This window comes from Homo sapiens, chromosome 1 (assembly GCF_000001405.40).
Source record: "Homo sapiens chromosome 1, GRCh38.p14 Primary Assembly".
NCBI classification, from domain to species: Eukaryota; Metazoa; Chordata; class Mammalia; order Primates; family Hominidae; genus Homo; species Homo sapiens.
The window spans coordinates 245,579,767-245,598,926 of NC_000001.11; the positions used below are offsets into that span (position 1 = coordinate 245,579,767).

General features: G+C 45.1%; 1 protein-coding gene across 1 annotated transcript in view, besides 1 other annotated feature; it reads left to right on the forward strand.

The window, feature by feature from the left end:
* KIF26B (kinesin family member 26B) overlaps nt 1-19,160 on the forward strand; it is a 554,448-nt gene that overhangs the window by 424,782 nt on the left and 110,506 nt on the right. The gene's annotated exons all lie outside the window — the stretch shown is intronic.
* Nucleotides 3,217-4,416: an enhancer, noted in NCBI's record as "CDK7 strongly-dependent group 2 enhancer chr1:245746285-245747484 (GRCh37/hg19 assembly coordinates)". NCBI's record gives its function as "activates an origin of replication core promoter dependent on BRD2, BRD4, P300/CBP, MED14 and CDK7 cofactors, with strong dependence on CDK7, by STARR-seq in HCT116 cells {active_cell/tissue: HCT116}" and the evidence as "EXISTENCE:reporter gene assay evidence [ECO:0000049][PMID:35650434]".

Below are 19,160 nucleotides of genomic sequence, written 5' to 3' on the forward strand. Positions count from 1 at the left end.
GAACCTGGAAGGTGGAGGTTGCGGTGAGCCGAGATTGCGCCATTGCACTCCAGCCTGGGCAACAAGAGTGAAACTTCATCTCAAAGAAAAAAAAAAAAAAAGAGCTTTGATTTTCATGAATACCAGTCTATTTCTGAAGGTTTCCCCCTTGGAGGAACAGTGGTGGCGGGCTGGCCCTCTCAGTCAAGGAGACGTGAGCATTCCATGAGACACGGGTTTCCTCTAGGGTCTGCCCCTGAGGTACCTGAGGTTTGGATACCTCTGCCCACTCCCCTCTGCCATGTTTTTCCAGCTGTACCGTGCCGATAATCACTGTGTCAGCTGTCATTACCATAATGCTCTGAGCATAACTGCTGTAACAGCTGGGAAAGAACTCTGCCTTTGCAAAACAATGCTGCGTCATAACACGCTAAAACCCCCAATGTGCCCACCCAATATTTCCTATCCATTTGCCCCTTCTGCACTCCACAGGCATGATCTTCCCTTTGCCAGTGGGACATCAGAATGAGACTCTCTTCTGTCCTCCCTCTCCTTCCCCAAGAACAGTCCTTGCTTGCAAATGCAAACAGAGAAAAAGATACTACCCGAGTGAGCAGGTGTTTCCGTTGGGGTCTGACAGGAGAAAGACACCACACTTAGATCGGGACTATTTAGAAAAGTATGGATGGAGTGTAGAAAATGAAAAGGGCTAATTAGATAGACCAGGGCTAGTCATAGCAGAGTGCCAGGATGGCCTAGGTCCGAAGGGTCAAAAGGAGGGAACCATGTTGGGGGGACAGAGGAAAGGAAGGTGTGGCGGAGCCTCCGGACTCGCCTCCTCCCTCCAGAGGGCAAGGGGGTTCTGCTGATGCAGTCCAGGCAGGCCCACTCCCTGGACACCAGGAGAGTGGAAAAGGGTGGAGACTGAGTCTGGAGGGCACGGAGGAAAATTGGCTCAGCATGGATTAGAACAGTCTTTCGCTTCCTGGAGCTTAAAAGCCCTCCTTACTTACCCTTAGCTCCTGCCACCTCTCTTTGTCCTTGGATGGATACAGCGCATGCCTCCTGCCTGCCACCTCATCTGTGGTTTCTCATCCTGTTTGCTGTCCTCCTTCCTCGTTCTGCCCATGCTGTCATAATGGATGGAAAAGCTAAAGGTGATTTCCAGTCATCTCTTTTGCTGCTGACAGCATGAAGTTTGTTCTGCTATTAGAATGACGCAGACCCGAGACAAGGGTTTTGTCCTGAGTTCATTCCATTAATTTCTCTCTGCATAGAGCATCTTTCCAGCAGCTCCTGCATGATTAAATTCTGGCTGTGTGGGACACAATGGCACAGGAAGAGCGTTGGCCACTCATCAGCCAGGTCACTAAAAGGCAAGTTCCACACATGAGGAGAAATCAAATGCTCACCCTTTGGACATCCATCCTTTTGGTCCTTTGAGTAACATTTAAACAATTGTTTCTTCAGATACATGGTCCACACTCAAGAGACCTACAACAGTTGGTATCACCTGGATAAGTATTCACCAGGCTCTCTATGCCCAGTTTTTTCCCAAGTTCCAACCAAGAGCTATTGATGGCTTTGCTCTTGATCAGAATAGCATTGGGTTTTGCTGCAAATATATTCTTGAGCATTATAGTGATGAAGAAAGAAAGAAAGATAGATAGATAGATAATAGAGAAATAGAAGATAGGTAGATAGATAGAGAAAGAAGCTTGCGTGTGTTTGTTTCAAAGAATGGGGTCAGTTTTCTTACAGCCACCTATTCTCTCGCCTGGACATATATTCAGTGAATGCTTCTGTTTGTAAGATGGCTAACTGGGATATGGGTCTTACAGGTCTTCAGTTCCTATAAGAGTCTACAACCACAGCCTCATTAACACATGCTCTCTGGTGAAAAGACATTAAATGGGGAGGGAGGAGGTGTGGATGCTACGCTGGCTTCACCACATGTAATTATTGAACTTTGTATATCACTTTACCTTTCTGGGTCTCAGGGACCTTGTCTAGAAACCCAACAAGGCAGGCTGTGGTAGCTCATGCCTGTAATCCCAGCACTTTGGGAGGCTGAGGTGGGAGGATTTCTTGAGCCCAGAAGGCCGAGGCCACAGTGAGCTGAGATTGGGCCACTGCACTCCAGCTTCTGCAACAGAGAGAGACCCTGTCAAAGAGAGAAAGAGGAAGGAAGGAAGGAAGGAAGGAAGGAAGGAAGGAAATAAATAAGCAATAAGCATGAAGTGGCAGTTATTCTCCAAGTGAACAGTGTGGAGTAACTGCCATTTTACTGGTACTCAAGTACTTGGTGTAACTGCTACATCCAGGCAACTGCTGAGACTTGAGCAAGGACCTTTACAGCCTTTGGAAGTCCCATCCGTCAGACACACCAGGGAGCCCGATGCTGAACTTCATGTCTGTGTTTGCTGAATGATGAGCAGGTCCTCTTCAGCGAGAGCTACACGAGCTGTGAATTTACCACGTGCCCGTCAAGGGGGTCATTGTGTTCCTCACTCTGTCAATAAACCACACAGTAAAGATCTGGATAATAGGAGCAGAACAGTTTCAAAGGACTTGTTACAATGTATCAAGTCAATAACTTATAATTTTAGAAAATCCCTGAATACAAATTTGCACAATTTTGAGTTGTTTTACAACTTACCAGGCCGTTAATCTAAGTTTTAAAAGTCTCTTAATATACTTAATCATAGCCTGTGCTTTTTTTTTTAAGTGCTGAAATATGTTTCAGCATTACTGAACCACAGCAGCACAAGGAAAAAACGACTTTAACTCGTTCCATAAAACTTGCAAAGCAACCATAAATATATACAGTGTGGGGTCTGTTTTGTGCACAATTTATATGCAATAGGCTGGGCTTGATCGAGAGGATTTATGCTTATCGTCTGTCTCCCCAGGCAGACAATTGTGGTAGAAAAGAAAATGCACAGGACCTAGAGTCAGGGCTGGGTTTCAATCCCATTTCTGCCACCTGCTTTTTGTGAGACCCTAGGGAAGCCTTTTGCTCCTTTGAACCTGTCTCCTACTTAACAATAATATGCCCACCTTAGAGGGCAGCTGTCAGGATTGCCACAGAGCAAGGCAGAGGTGAGCCATCTGCAGATGCGTGCTGAATTTAAACCAATGCATGAGTGACACGGAGCATGAGAGTGGCCAGCATCCTTCCTCTCTCCCTGCACCCCGCAAAACAACTCCATCCCCCACTCTCTCTCAGAGGTGGCAGCGGCCATAATTCAGACACATGCAACCCAGCCAGCGTAACCACCCCCTACTCACCCCCTGAAAATAGAAGAAGAAAGGATTTAGAGTCTGGGCAGATTGCTTTTAAAACATTTCCAACCTTCGATCTAATTTGTCATTATTATTTGTAGAGCTTTCTTTCTCTTCCTTCGTATCTCCTTTCATATCCGGAGCATTCCCAGGGAAGATCCCGTTGCTGAATACTCGTGTCTCCAGTTTTCTACCCGGACTTAAAGATCTACTGGTCCTGCAGAGCTGAGCTCCAGTGGTGTGAAAGGCACGTGAGCGATGCTGGGCTTGTGGAGATGAGTAACACACAGGCTTGCTTTCAAGGCACTCACAGCCTTACACATTTGAAAATGAGTTTTTCACTGGAGCCTGAAACTTCCAGATTTGAAACCATCTCCGGGGCCAAGCCTGGCTGAGACTCTCTCTCTCTGCATGAGCTGCCTGCCACCATCAGTTCCCCACCCAGATACCCAAGCCTGACCTTGACCTGCTGGGGGAAATTCATTATATTCTCGTTTACTCCATTTTATAGACGAATGTTTCTTATCATGAATGAGAGTTCGTTAAATCAGCTGGTTCTAGGTGGAGTTCACTAGAGCCCTCTCCAATGCTGCCGGAGGACCTGTTGCCGTCTGGGCTGTATTGTAGGTGGGTGGTATCATAATAAGATCCGTGGTACACGAATGGGCTTCAGGGCAGGCCTGGGTTACATCACCACCTCACTTTCGGTGTGTCAAAGCTGGAAAAAACAGCTGGAAGGTGGCCAGTGTTCGCTTACCCAACGAAGCATGACTTTGCATCTCCTCTACCCTGCCCAGTGAGGGCTCCCTGTTTTGAAGGACTGGCATATTCTGGAATGCTTCCACCAAATCCAAACATCATTCTGGATGAACTGTGGAGCAGTTCACCGTTCACAGTTCACAAAAGGACCCTCTGTAGAAGCAGAGGATCTTTCCCTGGGGAAATTATCCTAAGTCTTCTGATTTTAATAACTGATATAGTTCAAGTATTTGTCCCCGCCCAAATCTCATGTTCACTGTTAATCCCCAGTGCTGGAGGTGGGGCCTGGCGGGAGGTGACTGCATCATGGATCCCTCGTGACTCGGTGCCATCCTCATGATAGTGAGTTCTCCCAAGATCCGGTCATTTAAAAGTGTGTGTTTCCTGCCCCGTCTCATGCTCCCATTCTCATCACGTGATGTGCCTGCTCCCACTTCACCTTCCAACTTGAGTCAGAGCTCCCTGAGGCTTCCCTAGAGGCTGAGCAGATGCCAGTGTCATGCATACACAGCCTGCAGAACCATGAGCCAATTAAACCTCTTTTCTTTATAAATACCCAGACTTGGGTATTTCTTTATAGCAATGCAAGAACGGCCTAATACAATAATTGTTTTCCACATGAAATAAACATTGACCGTCTTATCCAACTATACATGCTTCTTGACTCTAGAAATTGTTGAATGGAAGTGCTAAAGATTATCCTCAAACACACTCATGTGCACACAGTTTCAGTGCCAGAACAGTGTCCTCTAGGAGGAAAGATGGTCCCAGAGCAATTACTGGTTTCCTTTAATTTTGGCTTCCTAATGAGTATCATTTTGGTACGATTCCAATGAATTGTTTATTTGAGGAAAGAGAAAAAGAAAAGAACCTATAGGAAGAGTTGGTTTGGATTCTATCGCGGGCAGTTTATGCTTCTACGATAGTAATAAAAGCAATGAGAGAAAAAAGCTACAGAACCAAATAAATATAGATCCAGGAGTTGTACAACTTTTAAAAGAAAAATTCTTTAGCCTATTGATCCTTCCTAAGGTAAACATTTATTTTATTTCAGTTTAGAACTCAAGAATTTTTTTCAAGTACAACTGAGGAATAGAGTCAGAAGCCACTTCGATTTTGACACCATAGAAACATTCTTTCTTTAGTTACTAGAATCTTTTAAATTGATAAGATTGGCATTTTCCCAGGATATAACATTCACCTCCACTGTGTTTTTAATTTGCAATAGATTTTGAGGGAAAGATTCCACAAGGATTTGGCCAACATGCCTCCTGAGCAGTGGGTCTCAAGTGTGGTCCCCAGACCAGCATGATCCCCATCAGCTGGAAACTGTTAGAAATGCAAATTGTCAGGCCCTACCCCAGACCCACTGAATCAGAAACTCTGGGAGGGGAAACCAACAATCTGTGTTTCAACATGAAGTCTGAGAACTTAAACTATGCACCGTTCTTGGTAAGAAAATAAGAGTTTTCCTTTGTGTGCGTATGTGAAACCAATTCCCTGCAACCCACAGTTGTTTAAACAAAAACGTGTCTAGGGAGTTCAAATTAGGTGGCCAATTGCCTTATAAAAGTTTACAAAGTAAAGAGTCTGTGCTGTTTCCGTTAGGAGACAGAAACCCAATCACTAACTTGGAGTATGAGTCAGAGGCAGGACAGAGAAATGTCTGTCTAGTCGGTGAGCTAATTAATACGTGATCCTGAGGATGGAGGAGCCAGGGCTGCCGTTCCTTCTCCACTAGGGAAAAAAAAAAAAGATGTTTCTCTGTCAGGCAGCTCCCTAGCTACCTCCAGTATGTTCTATTCCATGGCTAGAGGAGTGCAGCCTACATCCTGTGGATTTATGTATATTACTGTAAAACAAGCTTTCTCTTCTCGAGAGTTCCGAAGCAGATCTGTCTCTGATTCTTTCCATGAATTCAAATACATTGTCATCCTTAGGTTTCCTAGGTAAAGGAGACTGCATTACTCATCAGCATTTAATAAATATTCATTTGTTGGTTGACTGATTCATTATCCTTCATGCCAATCACATGGCTGCTACTAGCATGCATACAGCCGACTCTTAACTACAGTTGTGTCATCTACACAATCCCTGCAGAAAACTCATTGAACACGTAGTCGACACATTTAAAAATGCTGTGCTGTGGAAGTGCAAGTTGCACAAACATTTTCATCTTTAGCTTCACTTAGAATACATTTTTTTAGTTTTTTAATGTTTTTAGAGACAGGGTCTGCCTCTGTGACCCAGGCTGGAATGCAGTGCTGTGTGATCATAGCTCACTATAACCTCAAACTTCTAGGTTCAAGTGCTCCTCCTGCCTCAGCCTCCCAAGTAGCTGGCACTATAGGCACACACCACCATGACCAGTGTGTGTGTGTGTGTGTGTGTGTGTGTGTGTGTGTGTGTTTGTTTTAATAGAGACGGGGTCTTGCTATGTTGCTGATTTCAAACTCCTGGCCTAAAGCAATTATCCTACCCTGGCCTCCCAAAGTGCTGGGATTGCAGGCATGAGCCACCTGGCCCATCTATAACTAACTTCATAACACTCCAAATTGGAAGAAAGTTGGTGGTGTTATTAGCATTATTTTACAGATGGAGAAATTAACACCTGGAGTTTTGTGATTACAGAGCAGTGGTAATCACCCAGTTATTTTCCTTCTCTGTCCCTCCAGTGGCCCTCTGTTGTCTGGGTTAAGTACAGACTTTTTAGTTTGAGGAAAGGAGTCCCTCCACAATTTGTCATTCCTCTATTCTTCCAGCCAAATTTCTTACTTCTCCTCCACCCTCAACTACAGTCAAACATCAAACAGGCCGGGCGCGGTGGCTCACGCCTGTAATCCCAGCACTTTGGGAGGCCGAGGCGGGTGGATCATGAGGTCAGGAGATCGAGACCATCCTGGCTAACAAGGTGAAACCCCGTCTCTACTAAAAAAAATACAAAAAATTAGCCGGGCGCGGTGGCGGGCGCCTGTAGTCCCAGCTACTCGGGAGGCTGAGGCAGGAGAATGGCGTGAACCCGGGAAGCGGAGCTTGCAGTGAGCCGAGATTGCGCCACTGCAGTCCGCAGTCCGGCCTGGGTGACAGAGCGAGACTCCGTCTCAAAAAAAAAAAAAAAAACATCAAACAATACTCACTGAGCCCTTCCCACGTGCCGGGCTATTTGCCGAGAACTTCTCATGCATTATCTCATTTAATCCTCATCACAACTTCTCTCAGGTGGAGGCATGATTGCCATCCCATCATACGGGTGAGGAAACTGAGGCTCATAGAAGTACCTTGCCCCAAGCCCCATGGCTACTTGCAGGTTCCAAGACACCGGTCAGCCTGCCCCCCTGCACCTTGGCCATGCTGCCCACTCACCTAGAGCGCACAGCTGACACTGAGTCCTCTTCTGAACCTCATCCATGAACATATTTATGAAATCTTTCCTGGCCCCAAGTGGAAATGCCCCCTCATTTGGGTCCTCACTGAACCCCAGTACACAACTCTTTTGTACTACTCTATTATGCTGGGGTGTTTTTTTATTGTCTCACCTGATAAACCGTAAGCCCCTTGAAGACAGCAACTCGTTTTTAAGCTCTTTATAACCCCAGAGCCTCGCACAGTACCTGGACCAGATTAAGGGGTACTTAACAGATGCTTAGTGAAGGAAGGAATGGATTTCTCACCTGGTTGCTTATCTTCTAGACTCATTTGGGGAGTGGCCAGGAGTCCGGGAGAGCTGCCGGCCATTGTTCCGTCCCGTCTGTATCCCTTGGGCTAGTTTCTTCTAGACTGAGGTTTCTAAGTCCAAACAAGATGAACTGTGCACAGTGCCTCAATTAGGGAACAGCAGCTTGAGTGCTTTGGAAATACAAAAGTGTAGTTTGTAGGTTCACCTTGAAGGCAAGATCAGACAGCTCTACGTAAGCCAGAGCTCTGAAACAAAGCTTCAGGCTGGGACCACTTTGCAGTCTCAGTGCCTGGTAGTGGGGACTGTTCTACAGAGCCGTGATCAAACCTCCAACTGCATTCTGGTCTTGGAGGAAAGCTGATTCCGTATGAAGAGAAAAGGCCTGGTGAGAGTATTTGCAGGGCTGAAGAAAAGTTAACATCTATAGTTTGGCAAGCAGCAGCTGCAAAGCATCCGTCCCAGCACATGATAAATGCTTCTGACGTTTCCTTCAGACACAGTGTGCTAGGAAGGCTTTTAAGTTCTCAAATGCAGGAGTCTGCCTTATTGATCAGGTGCCTTTCATTAAAGGTTTCCAAGCCCCTCGGCTACAGAGGAAACGCTCCCCTCAGCCTCCTCCACAGCCCCAGCCTTTCATGCAGAGGGGATTATCATTGTTGGAATACGGCATATACTTTAATTTGGTGAGGCTTTTTGTTTAATGCTTATGATATGCACACTGGAACAGACTGGGATTAGGTAATTTTCACATTGAGTTGGTACTTCCCTCCCTAACCCCCATCTGATCTTCCATATACACATTTTAAGAAGAAAATAAAGAGAAGACACGTCCTCCTAATGATCCTCCGTATTAGAACTTACCATTCTGCTTTGAACTCCTGCTGCTTTGAGTCTCCCACTGCCAGCAAGCACTTCTCTGCCAGGCGGAGGGGCGGTGAAGGGAATTAAAGGGGCAGTCAGTGGCTTGCCTCTGGCGGGAGGTGGCGGAGCGTCTCATTAGCGTTTGCTCCTTTCCTCCAGCTGGGCTTCACTGGGCCCCTCTTCTTATCAACCCGTCCTTCACTTCACCCAGGCTGTCCCCTGCACTCAGACCCCCTCCAGTCCTTCCAACAAGATGGCAGCAGGATGACTGGGACTCATTGGAGCTAAGCAGAGAATTAAAGTTGCTTTTGTTCCAAACCTAAAACTTGAAAATGAAGGAACTCTTACGTGGAAATGCCACCATCTCCCTTTTGTTTTATGCGTAAACCCAACTGGTTCCCCATCCTCTGGGTCTCCTTCCTGCCCCTCGCTGGCTCAGGGCATTGTACATACTGTGTGTTCAACACATGCTGAGTGGAATTGAACAGATGCAGTCCTGGGAAAGGGGGCCTTTTGGAAGAACTGATGGGGAAAGAATTGGGGTAACTGTGGGCAGTTACTGGACGTTCTTGCTCTTACTTATTGGTTGAATGAGAATGAAAGTATCTAAGATGTACCAAGTCCCAGGGATAGTGGCATAATTTCTCTGTTCCTCCTTCTGACTCCCTCTTCTCCCCTCTTTTAGTGTGGGGAAGTTACGAGAACGTAGCGTTTGGTGCAGTGATCCATTCAGTATACGTCGGGCTCTTAAGAAAGTTAAATTTACCTAACATCCTACATTTTAGATAAGACCGTTCCAGATTTCCACCTCTTGACCCAAAAGATCCCTTCGGTGGTTTTCCTTACTAGGGCAATTCCCTTAGTTTCTTGGATTCTTCCTTCCTCTCCTTCCTGGAACTAAGCTGCAGAGTCCCAGGCTGGAGAAATAGCCCACTGCCCAGGGGTATTTTAGAAAGGGCTTCCCACCTTCCGCAGTGGGCCTGGAGAAGGACGCCTTCTTTTCACCACCAGGCTGTGATCTCGCAGGCTGGCAAGGCCTTTATGATGAACTGAATGCGGTCTGTATTTACGTGCCTGCCATCTGTCCCCAGGCGGCACTGAGAAGGGGGCTGATGCTGTCACCCCTAGCTCCTTCTGCAGGTCTCCTCCGTACGTGCCACTGCCAGGAACAAAATTATCATCTCATGGGAGCTGCACACATTTAATGGAACTTGGGAGCCAGCACAGACCGTTTTCCTCAAAGACAGTTTTATAAAGAAAATGGACTTTGGGGAACAACGCCAGAAAGACATCCAGTATACCTAATTATTAGGCGAGTGTGGTCATTGCCTCTTTGTCTTAGATAACTAGGTTGTTGATTACGGTGCTTTGCCAAACTCCACGGTGGATCTGGTAGCTGGTATTTCTGGGCAGACACCAGACTGAGTTACTTCTTTTCAGAGTTCTGGACGTTACTGATCTAGGTGAAAGGCCAGAAGCAGTGGGATATTGAAATTCTCAGAAGTGGAGAGACTGTGGCAAGGAGGTACAGAAGACACTAAATCGGGTGCCATGTTAGCAAGCTCAAGTTTTCATATTGATCATGCAGTGAGCTGCAGAGAAGAAAAGCAGCTTTGCCTGGGTCCTGTTGTTCTCCAAGCCAAATAGCATCTCTGTGCTGACAGACGAGTCTGCGTCTGCAGACGCAGCATCTCTTGACTGTTTGCTATTTAACGACAGTCGTAACACATGAGTGAGCTTTACTCATGTGGGCCCTTTATTAACAATAAGCCGCCTCTGTGGCGGCTGGGCCCCGCGGGGTCGGGGGGTGGGGGTGCCCAACGTGGCAGGGAGGCCTGCAAGGGGAGGCCGAGGCGCCGGTGGAAGCACAAACCACCCGGCGAGTCAGAGCAGGGGTCGGGGCCCCTGGCCGCACCGTGCCGCGCATGCGCAGGGTCCCGGGGTCCCTGGGGTCCCGGGTTTGTGCCCCCGGGGCGGCTGGGCCCCGCGGGAGGGGACGGCCAACGCGGAAATGGGCCCTTTATTCACAATAAGTGCCAAAATCCAAACTGAACACATCTAAAAAAATTCTAATTAAGGAGCGTCCACTGCTGCTTTCTCAAAAATTCCTTCTGTGCTATTAAATATTTTCTCTTTCCAATGGATATTTACCATTTCTACTCACAGTAGTTTTTCTACCAAGTATTCAGAAAAACCTCCAGTTGTCACTTACCCAGTGTTTACCAAAAATCAGGCAGAAGAGCGTGGTGGAAGTTGGAAGACCTTAGTGTAACCCGCGTCTATAAAAACTGGGCGTCCAGGCCGGGCACGGTGGCTCACGCCTGTATTCCCAGCACGTTGGGAGTCCAAGGCAGGAGGATCACTTGAGTCCAGGAGTTCAAGACCAGCCCGGACAACATAGAAAAACCCTGTCTGTACAAGAAATTTAAAAATTAGCTGGGTGTGGTTGTATGTGTGCGTCATCCTAGCTACTTGGGAGGCTGAAGTGGGAGGATCACTTGAGCCTGGGAGGCAGCGGTTGCAGTGAGCAGAGCTCACACCAGTGCACTCCAGCCTGGGTGACAGTGAGATCCTGTCTCAAAAAAAAGAAAAAAAAAAAAAAAAATTGGATGACGTTGGGCAAGTGTGGTGTCTGTCTCAGCTCTGTGAGTGTAGGATGATTCAGAATCTAATGATTAGGTCTCCTGAACTCCTAGGTCAAACGTGGTTAAAGGGAGATCCAGGGAAGCAGTGAGGAATGGGCTCTTACAACACTGTCATGGACATGGGTTCAATATGTTGGCAATTATTATTTATTGAGGACGTACTTTGTTTTAAGTGCTTAGGATAATTATTTGCTTAATAGTCACGTAAGTCCTTCAAGATAGGCATTATTATCGCCATTTTACTAATGAGGAAACTATGTTAAAATAATATATTCCTGGTCACACAGCGACCAAGAGTCAGGATCTGTCTGCCTTCAGAGTTCATAGTCTTTCCAGTAGCCTCAGTAAAAAGTAATAATAGCTAATATTTACTGAGCACTTACTATGTCACTGACATTGTGGAAAGGGATGTTATGGGCATTTGCTCTTTTAATGATCACAGTAACTCTGCTAGGCCAGTACTGTTATTATGGCCGATTTATAGATGTGGACAGAGGAGGTTAAACACTCGTGCATGGACACATACTGATCAACGTACAGCCAGCACTCAAACCCAGGCCGCCTGTCTCCAGAGCCTGTGCCCCCAAGCTCTAGGCCATGTGCCCTGTAAGTCGCAGATGGGACGCTCTGACAGCGAGTGTCACTGAGGTCGGAGTGGGTCATCAGGCATGCCTCAGAATCCCATTCCCCACTTCATTCACACCTGAGAACGCCTGTCTCTGGATGCATCTTTACACCAGCTCATCCATTTAAAATCAGTTCCCTAATACAACAAGCTGAGGATGAGGCCCCTTCTAACTAGGCCACCGTCAGAGTCCCAATCCTTTCTGACAGACCAGCCCCCGACATGTGTCTGTCTCCATCCTTGCAGCCTGGCCAGCCCTGTCCCACGCCTGCTAATTGGTGGGGGGACCTGGCCCCCCAAGCCTGCCGGCCATTAGCAGTGCCTCACGGGGAAGGGCTTTCTTCCTTGGTTTCAACTCCCTCCCTCCAGCGCGCAGTCCCTTGCCGGGCTTGCCTGGTGACAGACTCGTGTTGATGAAGACCTTTAGGGAATTTCCTTCCCCCTCCGCTCCCCGAAGCGCTTCTTAGAGCACATCTCATTACCGGGCTCCATTCTCCCGTCCTGCACATGCTCCCTCACACTTAGCTTTATTGTGCCACCACTTGTCACCTTTCCCGGCCCGGTTTTTAATAATGCAAATCTTCCCTCTCTGATGGCATCGCTGCTCATTATTTGCTGTCTGGCACCACGGGAGCTCACCCAGCGGCACCTCGGAGAAGCCAGCCGCCCAGGGTGCAGGCGCAGGCCCCACTGCCCGCCCCAGTCTCCTGAGAGATGGCTCCGCTCTGGCTATGACCCAAGATGCTCATGGAGGGAAGAGCAGTCCAGGGCCAGGGCCCTTCCACCTTCGCCAGGCAGGTGCCTTTGAGCAAGTCAATCTCTGCAGCCTCAAAATAGGAAAGATGGTAATAATTATTATAATAATATCCCCTTAACAAAGCAGTTATGGGGCAACCAAATGGAAGTAAGATACGAGAAAAGTCTGTATAAACTGTAAGATTTGTAAAACTTGTAAAGAAGTTGTGGTGGTGTTGCTGATGGATGATTGATTGATTTGGTCAACACGGAGCAGTCGCTGCCCCAAAGTAGGCCTGGAGGGCACCCCAGCCCCCTCATCTGCCCTCCCACCCCCAAACTCAGCATGGAATCATATGGCTTTGGACTTTCTCCAGGTGGATAAAGCCCCCTGATCTTTGAACATGTCATGCAGGATTATTATTGTGTGTTTTGTTTGGGCAAAGAAATTTAAGCCAATTTACTTTTGTTCTGTAACTCATAACTGAACTGTGCTCAGAGTCTCTGGGGTCCTTTCAGGCATGGGTCTGTGGTTCTGTAATGGTAACTATGGGTTGATGGAGCAATGGCTTTGTAAAATATGTTTAAAAGCTCCCTCTGAATTGAGGGATCACAGCCTCCTTAGTTGTCCCCTGGATTTCCTGGCATTGGAGTTATGTAAGACCTCCATGATCATTGCCATCTGGAATATGACTCTTTGGTACCCCAAAAAACTTCTGGAGTCTTTCAGTCATATGGAATCAAAAAGATCTTCCTTTGGAAGAAGCAATTTTAGATCACTGATGGAAATTTTACCAGAAAAGTATTCAAATCTTTTCCTTTTATAAAACCTGGGTTTGTTTTTTGTTTTTTAATTATACTTTCAGTTCTGGGATACATGTATAGAATGTGCAGGTTTGTTACATAGGTATACACATGCCATGGTGGTTTGCTGCACCCATCAACCCGTCATCTACATTAGGTATTTCTCCTAATGCTATCCCTCCCCTAGCTCCCCAGCCCCCAACAGGCCCCGGTGTATGATGTTCCCCTCCCTGTGTCCATGTATTCTCATTGTTCAACTCCCACTTATGAGTGAGAACATGCAGTGTTTGGTTTTCTATTCCTGTATTAGTTTGCTGAGAATGATGGTTTCCTGCTTCATCCATGTCCCTGCAAAGGACATGAACTCATCCTTTTTTATGGCTGCATAGTATTCCATGGTGTATATGTGCCACATTTTCTTTATTCTGTCTATCATTGATGGGCATTTGGGTTGGTTCCAAGTCTTTGCTATTGTGAACAGTGCCACAATAAACATACGTGTGCATGTGTCTTTATAGTAGAATGATTTATAATCCTTTGGGTATATACCCAGTAATGGGATTGCTGGGTCAAATGGTATTTCTGGTTCTAGATCCTTGAGGAATCACCACACTGTCTTCCACAATGGTTGAACTAATTTACACTCCCACCAAAAGTGTAAAAGCATTGCTATTTCTCCACATCCTCTCCAGCATCTGTTGTTTCCTCACTTTTTAATGATCGCCATTCTAACTGGTGTGAGATGGTATCTCATTGTGGTGTTGCTTTGCATTTCCCTAATGACCAGTGATGATGAGCTTTTTTTCATATGTTTGTTGGCCACATAAATGTTTTCTTTTGAGAAGTGTCTGTTCATATCCTTCTCCCGCTTTTTGATGGGTTTGTTTTTTTCTTGTAAATTTGTTTAAGTTCTTTGTAGATTCTGGATATTAGCCCTATGTCAGATGAATAGATTGCAAAAATTTTCTTCCATTCTGTAGGTTGCCTGTTCACTCTGATGATAGTTTCTTTTGCTGTGCAGAAGCTCTTAGTTTAATTAGATCCCATTTGTCAATTTTGGCTTTTGTTGCCATTGCTTTTGGTGTTTTAGACATGAAGTCTTTGCCCATGCCTATGTCCTGAATGGTATTGCCTAGATTTTTGTCTAGGGTGTTTTATGGTTTTAGGTCTTACATTTAAGTCTTTAATCCAACTTGAGTTACTTTTTGTATAAGGTATAAGGAAGGGGTCCGGTTTCAGTTTTCTGCATATGGCTAGCCAGTTTTCCCAACACCATTTATTAAATAGGGAATCCTTTCCCCATTGCTTGTTTTGTCAGGTTTGTCAAAGACCAGATTATTGTAGATGTGTGGTGTTATTTCTGAGGCCTCTGTTCTGTTACATTTGTCTATATCTCTGTTTTGGTACCAGTACCATGCTGTTTTGGTTAGTGTAGCCTTGTAGTATAATTTGAGGTCAGGTAGCGTGATGCCTCCAGCTTTGTTCTTTTTGCTTAGGATTGTCTTGGCTATATGGGCTCTTTTTTGGTTCCAAATGAAATTTAAAGTAGTTTTTTCTAATTCTATGAAGAAAGTCAATGGTAGCTTGGTGGGAATAGCATTGAATCTATAAATTATTTTGGGCAGTGTGGCCATATTCACGATATTGTTTCTTCCTTTCCATAAGCATAGAATGTTTTTCCATTTGTTTGTGTCCTCTCTTATTTTCTTGAGCAGTGGTTTGTATTTCCCCTTGAAGAGGTCCTTCACATCCCTTGTAAGTTGTATTCCTAGGTATTTTATTCTCTTTGTAGCAATTGTGAATGGGAGTTCACTCATGATTTGGCTCTCTGTCTATTACTGGTGTATAGGAAGGCTTGTGATTTTTGCACAATGATTTTGTATCCTGTGACTTTCCTGAATTTGCTTATCAGCTTAAGGAGATTTTGGGCTGAGACGACGGGGTTTTCTAAATATAGAATCATGTTATCTGCAAACAGGCAATTTGACTTACTCTCTTCCTATTTGGATACCCTTTATTTCTTTCTCTTGCCTGATCGCCCTGGCCAGAACTTCCAATACCATATTGAATAGGAGTGGTGAGAGAGGGCATTCTTGTATTGTGCTGGTTTTCAAAGGGAATGCTTCCAGCTTTTGCCTATTCAGTATGATATTGGCTGTGGGTTTGTCATAAATAGCTCTTATTATTTTGAGAAACGTTTCATCGATACCTAATTTACTGAGAGTTTTTAGCATGAAGGGGTGTTGAATTTTGTTGAAGGCCTTTTCTGCATCTATTGAGATAATCGTGGTTTTTGTCATTCGTTCTGTTTATGTGATGGCTTACATTTATTGATTTGCGTATGTTGAACCAGCCTTGCATCCCAAAGATGAAGCCGACCTGATCGTGGTGGATAAGCTTTTTGATGTGCTGCTGGATTCAGTTTGCCAGTATTTTATTGAGGATTTTCACATCGATGTTCATCAGGGATATTGGCCTGAAATTTTCTTTTTTTGTTGTGTCTCTGCCAGGTTTTGGTATCAGGATGATTCTGGCCTCATAAAATGGGTTAGGGAGGAGTCCCTCTTTTTCTATAGTTTGGAATAGTTTCAGAAGGAATGGTATCAGCTCTTCTTTGTACCTCTGGTAGAATTCAGCTGTGAATCTGTCTGGTCCTGGGCTTTTTTTGGTTGGTAGGCTGCGAAATTACTGCCTCAATTTCAGAACTAGATATTGATCTATTCAGGGATTCGACTTCTTCTTGGTTTAGGCTTGGGAGGGTGTATGTGTCCAGGAATTTATCCATTTCTTCTAGATTTTGTAGTTTATTTGCATAGAGGTGTTCATAGTATTCTCTGACGGTAGTTTGTATTTCTGTGGGATCAGTGGTGATATCCCCTTTATCATTTTTTATTGTGTCTATTTGATTCTTCTCTCTTTTCTTCTTTGTTAGTCTGGCTAGCGGTCTATTTTGATAATCTTTTCAAAAAACCAGCTCCTGGATTCATTGATTTTTTGAAGGATTTTTTGTGTCTCTATTTCCTTCAGTTCTGCTCTGATCTTAGTTATTTCTTGCCTTCTGCTAGCTTTTGAATCTGTTTGCTCTTGCTTCTCTAGTTCTTTTAATTGTGATGTTAGGGTGTCGATTTTAGATCTTTCCTGCTTTCTCCTGTGGACATTGAGTGCTATAAATTTCCCTCTAAACATTGCTTTAAATGTGTCCCAGAGATTCTGGTATGTTGTGTCTTTGTGCTCATTGGTTTCAAAGAAATTATTTATTTCTGCCTTCATTTCATTATTTACCCAATAGTCATTCAGAAGCAGGTTGTTCAGTTTCCATGTAGTTGTGCAGTTTTGAGTGAGTTTCTTAACCCTGAGTTCTAATTTGATTGCAGTGTGGTCTGAGAGACTGTTTGTTATGATTTTCATTTTTTTGCATTTACTTCCAATTATGTGGTCGATTTCAGAATATGTGGTGCTGAGAAGAATGTATATTCTGTTGATTTGGGTTGGAGAGTTCTGTAGATGTCTTTTAGGTTCACTCAGTCCTGAGCTGAGTTCAAGCCCTGAATATCCTTATTAATTTTCTGTCTCGTTGCTCTAATATTGACAGTGGGATGTTAAAGTCTCCCACTATTATTGTGTGGGAGTCTAAATCTCTTTGTAGGTCTCTGAGAATTTGCTTTGCGAATCTGGGTGCTCCTGTATTGGGTGCATATATATTTAGGATCATTAGCTCTGCTTGTTGCATTGACCCCTTTACCATTATGTAACGCCTTAATTGTCTTTTTTTAATCTTTGTTGGTTTAAAGTCTGTTTTATCAGACACTACGACCGCAACCCTTGCTTTTTTTGTTTGTTTTCCATTTGCTTGGTAAATCTTCCTCCATCCCTTTATTTTGAGGCTATGTGTGACTCAGATGGGTCTCCTGAATACAGCACCCTGATGGGTCTTGACTCTTTATCCAATTTGCCAGTCTATATCTTTTAATTGGGGCATTTAGCCCATTTACATTTAAGGTTAATATTGTTATGTGTGAATTTGATCCTGTCATTATGATGCTAGCTGGTTATTTTTCCCATTAGTCGATGCAGTTTTTTCATAGCATGAATGGTCTTTACAATTTGGTATCTTTGTGCAGTGGGCTGGTACCAGTTGATCCTTTCCATGTTTAGTGCTTCCTTCAGGAGCTCTTGTAAGGCAGGCCTGGTGGTGACAAAATCTCTCAGCATTTGCCTGTCTGTAAGGGATTTTATTTCTCCTTTGCTTATGAAGCTTAGTTTGGCTGGATATGAAATTCTGGGTTGAAAATTCTTTAAGAGTGTTGACTATTGGCCCCCACCCTCTTCTGGCTTGTAGGGTTTCTGCAGAGAGATCTGCTGTTAGTCTAGGGAAGATGGGCTTCCCTTTGTGGGTAACCTGACCTTTCTCTCTAGTGCCCATAACATTTTTCCATCATTTCAACCTTGGTGAATCTGACGATTTTGTGTCTTGGGGTTGCTCTTCTCGAGGAGTATCTTTTTGGTGTTCTCTATATATTCTGAATTTAAATGTTGGCCTGTCCTGCTAGTTTGAGGAAATTCTCCTGGATAATATCCTGAAGAGTGGTTTCCAACTTGGTTCCATTCTCCCTATCACTTTCAGGTACACCAATCAAACATAGGTTTGGTCTTTTCACATAGTTCCATATTTCTTGGAGGCTTTGTTCATTCCTTTTCATTCTTTTTTCTCTAATCTTGTCTTCACGCTTTATTTCACTAAGTTGATCTTCAATCTCTGCTATCCTTTCTTCCGCTTGATCGATTCAGCTATTGATACTGTGTGTGCTTCATGAAGTTCTCATGCTGTGTTTTTCAACTCCATCAGGTCATTTGTGTTCTTCTCTAAACTGGCTATTCTAGTTAGCAATTCCTCTAACCTTTTTTCAAGGTTCTTAGCTTCCTTGTATTGGGTTAGAGCATGCTCCTTTAGTTCAGATAGAGAGATGATAAGGGATCAGAAGAGGCCAGTGGTGAATTAACTCTGTAGCCTAGAACCTTGTAGGGGTAAAAACTATTTATCATCACCTACACACTCTTACTGGGCATTTATTGTGGCCAAGACTCGGGTTCCTGTGTGTCTGTAGAGGGCCTTCATTGTGGGTATCCACAAAGTGAGTTGAAACAAAGCTCATGCATGAGAAGCGCTGATGGAGTTCTCCCTTGCTCCTGCCACCTTCTTATCATCTGTAGTCTTTTTCTTACTGCTGAGGGATCCTTCCAGTGGTCACATTTGCCCATAGCCCTCCTGAACGCTTGAGTCTGCAGAAAACCTCTAGCTGGACAGCTTCTGGGTAGAGAAACAGGCCATGAAGAGCCTCCTACATGTGCACCATGTGGCTACGCTCCGTGACGAGGGAAAAACAGGAATATCTGTCTGCTGTGATCACGTGTAGTGGTCACGGTGAGAGATGACGGGGCTGCTCCTCCTCAGCCTCCAGTCAGGCTGTGTGGCAGCGATCACCTCCATGTCGATGGAGTGTCTGTGCAGTTTGGGAGCGAGGCTCTGCCTCTCTCGGTGAGTGTCTCACAGTTCCTTTCTCCCTCAGCCCCATGATGCCGTCCAGAACAAGGTGCTGAACTGATTAATGAGCAGGACATAAAGACAACTGCTGTCCAGAGCAACAGCTGTCCCAATCCATCCGTGGAATAAACAAACAGGGCAGAGCGAGGTCCCGACCAGTGGGGACTTGGGTGCAGGAAATGCCAGTCTCTTCTTGCTTGAATCAGGGTGTCAGGGGGCCTTCCTGGCCACCACTCAGGCTGTTCCTTT